This window comes from Homo sapiens, chromosome 15 (assembly GCF_000001405.40).
Source record: "Homo sapiens chromosome 15, GRCh38.p14 Primary Assembly".
In the NCBI taxonomy this organism is placed as follows: Eukaryota; Metazoa; Chordata; class Mammalia; order Primates; family Hominidae; genus Homo; species Homo sapiens.
In genome coordinates, this window is record NC_000015.10 from 69,386,166 (window position 1) to 69,395,913 (window position 9,748).

Consider the following 9,748-nt stretch of genomic DNA (forward strand, 5'->3'; position numbering starts at 1 on the left):
TGCTCATATACGCACACATACTCTCAGACACTACACACACATTCACACACTCACACTCTCACATACATCACACACACACACCACACACACACATCACACACACCACATACATACACACACACCACACACACGCTCACTCACACACTCTCACACACATACACACACACTTTCCCACTTCACTGCCCACTCCTTAGTGCTCTGCTGCCCAGTCCCCAGCATTCACTAGACCGTGCCCCTTTCCGTGTGAGCCAGGCTTACCCTCAGGCTTTGATGGGTTTGCAGAAGAGAGTGGGGAATGTGCGTGCCCCTGTCCAGGGTCCCGGCCTCCTGACTGCCAAGATTGATGCAGGGGTCCTTCAGGCCTCCTCAATGCCCCTCTCTTTCTCTGGTCCCTGTCACATCCCTCCCTCCCTCCCGGATTCCCTCCCACCCTCCGGATCCCCTCTTACCCTCCATGTCCCCCCTCCCCTGGGCTGGCTCCCCTCCTCTGCTTTCTGGCACACATGGGTGGGGAGGCTCAGAAGTGGTCCTTTGACCTCTCCTCTCACACGATCCGGCTCCCCAGAGATCTCCTCCATGCCTACTGCATCTCTTCCACCTCCGGAGAAACCCTGTCTCCAATGTAAACCTCTTACCTGAGGTCCACGCCACCTCAGAGCCATGAGACCAGAACTGTACCTGCTCCCGCCCCTGCCCCTACACCTGCTAGCCCTCTGTATGTCCAACCTGACTGATGGTCGCGCCCCTACTCCTTCTCCTGAGTCAGAAGCCTGACTAATCCTCGGGGTCCCCTTCCTCTCACTCCCCACCCACGCCCACCCTCTGGCCAATTGGTTATTAAGGCCAGGTGACTTCTCTCCTACCTGCTGTAAGCGGCACTGCCCCTTTGTCTTGACTCAGGCCCCGGCCTCTCACTTGCACAGTTATCACAGCCTTCTCCACCTCACCCAGCCCCTGGAGGCTTCCACAACACCTTCTACCACATCACCCTCCCACTGTCAGGGCCCTCATCAGCCAGAAGCAGTCCAGACTGCTTAGCGGGGCGACTTCCTTGGCCCTCGGTTGCCCGCCCCGGACTTGTTTTGATAAGTGTGGGCATTTCTGGAGTAATCGCTGCATGGCAAGCCCTGGTCCAGGCCCCTGACACACACCCCTGAGGGGCCACACCACACCATGTTTAATGGTCCAGGTGCTGGCACCTGATTCCACCACCCCTAACTGTTAGAGGTTCCTGTGCAAGTTTCATAACCCTGCCAAGCCTCAATTCTTTCATCCACAAAATGGATGTAATATCTTCTTTGTGGGTATGTTCTGATGATTAAATGTGTTTTAAATGAGGCTCAGAGCCTGGCCTTAGTCGGCATCTGAGGGCAGCCATTACCACGATGATCTTGTTAACCGTGGCAGCAGTCCCTGAGGTAGGTCCTAGTGTCATATCCATGCGTAGGTGAGGACAGTGAGGCACTGTGGAGGTAAGTGACAGGTCACACAGCTGTGCATGGCAGAGCCAGAGTGAGGACTGAAGCCCATGTGGTCCACCACCAACCTGTCCCCTGCCTTCCTCCATCACGGGCCTCACTGTCTGTCTGTGTAAGAGTTCCTCTTGTTGCCATGGTCTCCCTTCTCTGTATCCTCCCATAGGCCATTCCCCAGAACTCCCTCTTCCCTTCCCTGCAGGCTGCACCACGGGAGCCTCAGGGGCCCCTGCCCTGTGCCCTTCCTCCAACCCCCAGACCTGGATATACCCCCACCATGATTCTTCTGATCCCCAGCCTGCCAGCCATGCTGGCACACCTCCATTGCTGAGAACAACTCCGGAGCACAGAAGATGCTTCCAATCTGTTTTTCTAGCCCATAGCCCAGTGCTTGATGTGGGGAAGTGTTCAGGAAACACGGAAGGAACATCTAGTCCACTGAGAGAGCCATTGATTCCATCTGGGACTCCCGGCTCCACCCTCTGCCCCTGCCTCCCTCCTCCCTCCCTGTCAAAGCCCTCAATCCCACCAGTGTAGCGCCCTCCTGCCACCTCCCAGGCTTCCAGGGGTTCCTCCCTCAGGCCATCCTGTGTGCTTTCACTAGGTTTTGGTCATCAGAATCCTTCAGTGGCTCCCTTAGTGCCTGAAAGAGGAAGTTTCCTTTCCTTAGCCTGCATCCAAAGCTGAAAGCCTCCCTGCCCTCAGGCTCTTGTCAGAATCCGGGATGACCTACCAGGCTTTGTTCCAAGATCAGCTCCTGTGCCTTGTGCTCCACCCATCCCGAAAGCCTGCCCCACACTGGAACCTGACTCAGGCTCTGGTCTTTTGCTTCTGGCTGCGGTTCTGGGCAGGGTCAGAAGCTCCCTGGCTCTTGCATGGCCCACAGTTTGCCCCAGTTGGCATCTGCTGAGCGAATGCATCCCAGTCCAGCAGGGAACCCCCTCCCAGTATGGGGCCAGACAAAGGGCTTGCCTGTCCCTCTGGAGGCAGCTTCCCACTGAAATCTCGCGGGCTGCCTGCTGCAGCTGGGAGTATGGGACCAGGAGGCTTTGGTGTTCACCCTCTTTGCCTGTGTGGCCAGCTTTGCTAGATCCACCTGTCACTGGGATAAAAGACAGATCAACCTGTATGGCCCAAAGCCTTGTTCAGCCCTGAGCTAGGACTCCACAATTCCTGATGTCTTTGGAATGACAGGTGACCTAGGCATGGCCATCAGGCCTTGGGCTGCCTCCCTTAGGGGAGACCTCAGGAGGTGAGGGTGCAGGTCCAGGCCCATCTCCCCAGCTGAAGCACACCTGGCCCCTTTGAAAAGGACAGTGATCTCCCCTGCTCTTCCAAATAAATGCTTCAGCAAAAAGGTCGCTAGAAGGTCCTTAAGCAACCCTTCTTTCACAAACTTCAAAACCTAAAACACAACGCAACACCCAACCTCTCAGCTGGTCTGTCTCCCAGCTGCTGCTATGACATCCTCGTCTCAGCAAGGGCCCTCCCTCCAGCACTGATCTTTCTACCAGGAGCACCCATGTCCCTGGGCAGGTGAGATGTGCACACTCTGAGTAGAGCTCAGCTCGCTGGGTCTGTCGTCATGGACCACAGCATGTGGCTAAAGCAGGGACTGTCACTAACCTGTCTGGGTTTGAAACCCATCTTTGTTAACTCTCTAGCTGCAGGACCCTGGGCGAGTGATTAAACCTCTCTATCCCTCTGCTTCCTATCTGTACAATGAGGATAAGTGCAGAGTTATGAAGGAGGATGGTTGAAGTATTATGTGAGGTCATACATGTAAAGCCCTTGGAGCAAAGCTGGGCTCACAGTAAATTCTCAGGATGGGATTTGGGTGGGCAGAGAAGAGAAAGCAGGACATCCTAGAAGGGGGAATGGCACCAGCGAGGGCGCAGAGCCAGGACTGTGGGAATGATAAGGGCCAAGCCAGATGCTGGGGACAGTCTTTGCAAGGGGCCCATGTGGTGCCAAGGCCTGGCTCCTCTCCCAAGGCTGGCTTTTCTTCCCCAGGCTCAGCCATTGCCTACTCTGCATACACGTTCCCGGATGCGCTCATGTGCACCACTTTCCATGACTACTACGTGGCCCTGGCTGTACTGAACACCATCCTCAGCACAGGCCTCTCCTGCTACTCCAGGTACTGGTCGCTCTGACCTCAGATGGGAGGGGAGGGAGGGTCTTGCATGCAGCTCCCTGCACTCTTTGAGGGAGCCGGGGAAGAGGTGGGCTCAATGGAAAAGGTGCTTGGGAACCTAGGACTCCGTTCCAGGTGGACTTCCTATGCTGGCAAAACCAGCTTCCTGGGCACGCAAGCTCCAGGCCTCCATGCTCAGAGAGTCTCATACTTGGTTTAATACTCTGCTGCCTTTTTTTGTTTTTGTTTTTGTTTTGAGACAAAGTCTCACTCTGTCACCCAGGCTGAAGTGTGATGGCACAATCTTGGCTCACTGCAACCTCCGCCTCCTGAGTTCAAGCGATTCTCCTGCCTCAGCGTCCCATGTAGCTGGGATTACAGGCACCCGCCATCACGCCCAGCTAATTTTTGTATTTTTAGTAGAGACAGGGTTTCACCATGTTGGTCAGGCTGGTCTGGAACTCCTGACTGCAGGTAATCCACCCACCTTGGCCCTCCAAAGTATTGGGATTACAGGCGTGAGCCATGGTGCCTGACCTGTTTTTTATTTATTTATTTATTTATTTATTTATTTATTTATTTATTTTTTTGAGACAGGGTCTCTCTCTGTGGCCCAGGCTGGAATGCAGTGGTGCGATCTCAGCTCACTGTAGCCTCGCCTTCCTGGGCTCGTCTGCTGCATTCTTAATAATTTGTAATAATTTTTGAACAGGGAGGTCCCTGCTCTTTGATTCGGTACAAGGCTTTACAAATTATGCAGCTGGTTCCATTTGCTGGACAAGTGGCTTATCCACCCTGAACTTCAGTTTGCTCATCTATAAAATGAGGCCATTACAAATACCCCTAAGACAAATGGAAGGATTACAGGTAATGTACCCAGGACACTTAGCACAAGCCTGGCACAGAGGAGATGTCCCATAAATGTGTGGTCACTAATGGTGACTGGGTGTGTCTGCCTCTGGGCATATGTGATGGATGATGGTGTTATTCAAATGCCCTATGCATCCCTCATCAGTGAGTCAGGCCCAGCTTACGCGCTCTAATTCCCACTGTTTTTTTTTTTTTTCTTTCAAGAAAACTCATGGGGGTGTGAGTGCAGAGAATGTTGTTATGGGGATAACTACACCAATTTATTCAGCTCTTTGTAGAAGTGAACTGCCTGAAAGTTCCTTTTCCCTAAAATACTCAGGAAATCTCCCAAATGGTTGTGTTGGGGTGACAGCCCTGGCTGAATAGGGCCAAGGCTGGTACTTTTGGGCTGGGGGCCTTTCGTGCTGGTCAGGAAAGGTAAGCTGGCAGGTACATCTGAGTTCTCTGTCCTCCCGCAATGGCAACTCCAGCGAGCCAGTGGAGTCTCCCTGCCTCCACTTGCCCCCCTCTCCCCAGGAAAAAACAGGCAGGTGAGATATGCCCCATCTGGTAACTTCTCCAGAATGATTTTGTCTCCAAATTCCTTTGGGTGACACTTGGGATGTGTGGGGCCAGCAAGTTTCACAAGGGAGAGCAGGCAAGTTTCACAAACAGGACAAACCAGTTTTTTTGTTTCTGTTTTTTATTTTTAAATGGAAGGATAGATTCTGAAACAGCATTGGGAATACTTGTTCCAATTCGCCTTCCATTCACCTGCGCTAAGGTGGGTTGGAAGTGTGGAGCTGCCTTCCATGGGAGTGAAAGTCTGTTTCTAGGAGTCCCTGCCGTGGATGAAGGGAGGTATAACAGATATAGAACAGTAATAACCCTGCGGAAACAAGTCCAGCAGAGATGAAGCAAGCCCCGGAGACCTGGGTGCATGGGCTTGTGGACTGGCCATGGTCCAGGAACCTGGACACTCTTGGACCTGGTCCTTGGACCAGTCACTGCCCCATCTGGTTCGCTCTCCTAGGGCTGTGTGGCTCTGGCGTTTGAAATTTAGGATTAGACAGGGAGAGTACCACAGGTTGAGGGGGCAGAGGAGGAAGAGAAGGCTTCGTGAGTGTGGAAGAAAGTCTCCAGAGTGAGGCTGGGTGCAGTGGCTCACACCTGTAATCCCAGCATTTTGGGAGCGCCAGGTGGGTGGATCACCTGAGGTCAGGAGTTCAAGACCAGCCTGGCCAATGTGGTGAAAACCTGTCTCCACTAAAAATACGAAAGTTAGCTGGGTGTGGTGGCAGGTACCTGTAATCCCAGCTACTCAAGAGGCTGAGGCAGGAGAATCGCTTGAACCCAGGAGGCAGAGGTTGCAGTGAGCTGAGAGCATGCCACTGTACTCCAGCCCGGGCAGTGGAGCCAAGAAAAAAAAGAAATTGTCTCCAGAGTGAATGATCCAAGATGGCTTCCCCATGAGCTCATAATTCAAATTCTTAGAACACTTGCTGGTTTTATTTTATTTTTTTTTGTTTTAAGTAGAGACAAGGTTTCGCCATGTTGGCCAGGCTGGTCTCGAGCTCCTGACCTCAGATGATCCACTCTCCTCAGCCTCCCAAAGTGCTGGTATTACAGGTGTGAGCCACCCTGCCCAGCCTAGATTACTTTCTTCTAGCCAGGAGTCTTCCCTGATGGTTCAGATATAACGGATGGGGTCTTTTGGATGTGGCATGCCTGGTGTCTTTGGAGGAACTTATCTGTCAGGGCAGCTTTGCCAGACATCTCCTGGGTGCCTGAGTTTGGGGGCTTCTCCCTTTGCCAATGAAATGGGTTATTTATTTATGGAGTACATCTGTGCCTATTCCATCTATCCACCCATCTACACACCCGCCCACCCATCTAACATTCCTTAAATGCCTGCCATACTCCAGGTACCACGTTAGGAGCTGAGGGTGCCAGAAGGATGCCCTTGCCTTCAGAGAGCACCCAGTGCCATAGGAGAGACAGACTGCAGATGCCCCCAGAGGTCCATGAGGCCATGATTTCCGTTAGAGTGTAGCAGGAGGGAGTGTAATGTAAACAAATAATGATAAGGCAGAATGACACCTGCCGGTATACACAGGGTTCTGAGAAGTGGCTTTAGGACTGGATATTGAAGGAGGTAGAACACTTTAGCTGAAGAGGAGGACATAGCAACCAGCCAGGACAAGGATGAGGACTACAGAGAGGGTGGGCCAGGGTGGGGAAGCAGCAAGGTGTGTTAGAGCTGCCAGAGTCTGCAAGAGTAGATGGAGGAGAGCAGCTACAGAGGGGCTTGGATGGTGGGCTGGGGGCCTGTGGGTCCTATGAGGACTGGCCCTTTGCTCATGAAGGATGAGAATCTCTTAGGGAAAAAAAAAAATCCTACGCACTCAGCTTCCATGCCCTGAGGGGTTTCCAGGCATATTAGCAGCAACTGAAGTGGGAGCTGAGGGGAGAGGGAGGTGAGGGGCTATGTTGGAATCAAAAAGGAGGAAGGGGGCACATGCCACACTCTTGCACCCAAAGGTAGAGTGGGCATGTGGCCCTTCCAGTGCCCTTTGTACCTCGTCCTCGCTCCACGTTCCCTGACCCATGGTTTTGCTGCTCTTACAAGGCCTGTCCTCCCCTCTCTTCATTCCCTGTCTCTGCCTTTGGTGTCTGGAGAGTGAGAAAGCTGACTCGTGTGCAGAAGTGATGCTGGCCCTGAGTAATTTCAGAAGAAGTGGGTAGAGAGGAGGGTGTGGGTATCTGGAGGCCTGAATTTCAACCCTGCTCCCCCAGACTTGCTGTATGGCCTCAGGGCAGTCACTGTCCACTCTGGGCCTCAGGGTCTACGTCTTCAATGAGGGCATCTGAGACAATACCCTCTGGGTCCTCTCTGGTTTGGGCATCGTGCAATGTCGATGCCTTAGTGTCTTCTCCAAGCTTCCTTTCCCAGCTGTCTTCCTCCCCCAGGCTCCACCCCTGCCTCTCCCTCCTGCTCCATCCGGCTGCAGTTGGGCAGGAGCGGGAGAGAACCACCTTCCCCTCCAGGGAGGGGAAGACCTCCTGGGGGAGACCAGGAACCTCAGTATTTGCTTGACAGTTATCTGATGCTTGCCCGAAAATCAGGGTTGAAATGGCATTCGTTCCATTACAAGGCAGACCATTAAGGCCAATCTCAACATAGAGAGCTTTGTCGTCCCCTGAGTGGTTTTTGGTTCTTATTGTCATGGACTTTGGTTCAAATGAAAATGTTCCAGAAAACTGCCTTCTCATTCTGTAGCATTTGAGAGGGGAAATGAGAGAATGCGTGCCCTCTTCGTGGTTCTTGGAGCAAGGTGGGGGTGGCCGAGGCCCTGGCCTGCTCATGCCTGCACAGGAAACGGCTGCCACTCCCTTCAGGAATGTCAGTTACACAGCAAGTACTGTATGGACAAATCACTGTCCATCTCCTTCCAGTGCATCCAACCATTGATTGTTTTTTTTTTGTTTTTTGTTTTTTTTTTTTCAAAGAGCTGCTGAGTGAAAAACCTCCTGGTCAGAGCAGTGAGGGCGAGAGATTAATTTTCACCCATGAGCTCTGCTCTAAGGACAGCTTAGAGGCAGTTGCTGAGGCAGTTCAGAGGGGTGGAGCTGACCTGGAAGGGGTTTGAGGTCAGCGCTGGAGGTAGAAGGCTCAGCAGACATGGTTCTCAGACAGAGGCTTGGCCAGAGGATAAAGTGCTGCTATAGCCAGTTAGGGGCATGGGGAAATGTCTACATCCCTGCAGTTCTCCAAAATAAGACAACTCCTACACAATAAAACAACCATAACTACCGCCCCCATGTACACACACACGTGCACTCGTGCGTGCGCCTCTGCAATAGAATGATTTTTCCAAAGGCCCGCTAGTTTCAAGCCCTAGTTCCGGAATTCCAGTTGCCAATCCTTCCAGCTTTTTTGTCAGATTGTGTTGAATCGACCCTTTCTTAACGAAGGCTTCTCCCGTAACCCAGTGTGTCCTGCCAACCTCGTTCTGAGCAGAGACCTCACTTCCTCTATAGCAGCCCCTTAGCCCTCTGGTGCGGGACTGCCCTAAGCCCGAGCAGGCTGGGCTGTGGGGCCGCACGTGGGGCGCCTCTGAGGATGCTGCGGCTGTGGTTCTGCTCTGGCTGTGGCGACATCGCGTGGCCTAATGCGGAACTGCAACTTGGTAGCGGACGGCCCCTCTCCCGAGCTACTGGCCCTTCTGCCTTTTTCTCTCTGTTGCTGTCTCTCTTCTCTTCTGCTTTTTCTCCTTCTCTTTTCCCTCTAGACCCGGCTTTGCAGCTGGAGAGGCTGGTCCGTTTGCCCCTGGGGAAACACTTTATCAGGCCGAGCGAAATGTTGTCTCAAGTCACAGAAAATCCATGCTTTGGGGGATGGCCTTCGCCAGCCACAGCCAGATTTCTTCGCGTGTAAGTGGCCACAGGGGCCCTTTAAGAGCGAGCCTCTCAACCTGGAGACGGCAGGCGGTGGCAGGGCACAGGGCAGGAGGGGGCGGCCTGCCGCGGCAGGGCAGGGTCTGCCGGAGGACTAAGAAGGCCGGTGAGGCAGATACCTGGCTCTCGGGATAGCAGGAGTGTGTGCCCTCTGCTCCAGGGGCAGAGCGGGCAGGGAAGGGTGAAGGCCGGGCGGGGTCTGAGTCTGCGCAGCCTACTGCCTGAGACAGAGGGGGTGACACTTGGGGGCCAGAAAGCCCAGGGTTTAAATCCTAGCTCTGCTTCTTATTGGCTCATCTGACTTCAGGCAAATCACCCAGAACCTATTTGTTCCCTCCTGTTCCTATTATCTGGACCAACATAGATACAAGGTGGGGATGGGGAGAGAATGGAGCTCCACGATGCATGTGTTTTTAAAAGCTGCTGTTTAGTCTGTGCGACTGTGCCATGCACAGTTCTAAACACCTCGGGAGCATCGTTTCATCAAATCCATACAACGAGGCTGTGACAAGGCACAGTCATTGTCCCTGTGTTACACATGAGGATCAGGAGGTACACAAAGGTTAGTGACCTGCCGAGGTCACGTGGTTGTGAAGGGCAGGGTCAGGATTTGAACCCAGTGTGTCCCAATCAAGCTCTCCACATAAAATCACAGTGCTGCGCTGCCTCACCTCTCCGGGAGTTTGGTTCTTTTTCGGGGGGGATGATGCATCCTAGTTCCTTCTCCTTGAGCTTCTCACCTGGTACATGCCATGTACCATGTATGACTTACAGGCAGGGTCAGGAAAGAAGAAACACGAAAGTGGGCTGGAGTGAAGTTGGGGTTTGT

The 9,748-nt window shown here is 53.2% G+C and overlaps 1 protein-coding gene across 21 annotated transcripts in view, besides 1 other annotated feature; it reads left to right on the plus strand.

The window, feature by feature from the left end:
- PAQR5 (progestin and adipoQ receptor family member 5) overlaps positions 1–9,748 on the plus strand; it is a 108,869-nt gene that overhangs the window by 87,254 nt on the left and 11,867 nt on the right. For 17 of the 21 annotated variants that reach the window (XM_047432749.1, XM_047432747.1, XM_047432748.1 and 14 more), the window contains one exon: positions 3,489–3,615. The exons of 3 other annotated variants lie outside the window; for them this stretch is intronic. In XM_047432749.1, the coding sequence (XP_047288705.1) occupies positions 3,489–3,615 (127 nt within the window). Of the gene's footprint in view, positions 1–3,488; positions 3,616–6,058; positions 8,896–9,748 lie in introns of those variants that run through there. One more of the 21 variants, XM_024449967.2, reaches the window with a different exon arrangement.
- Positions 2,210–2,854: an enhancer, noted in NCBI's record as "H3K4me1 hESC enhancer chr15:69680714-69681358 (GRCh37/hg19 assembly coordinates)". NCBI's record gives its function as "activates a minimal SCP1, AML or CMV promoter by ChIP-STARR-seq in naive H9 embryonic stem cells {active_cell/tissue: H9 hESC(naive)}" and the evidence as "EXISTENCE:reporter gene assay evidence [ECO:0000049][PMID:30033119]".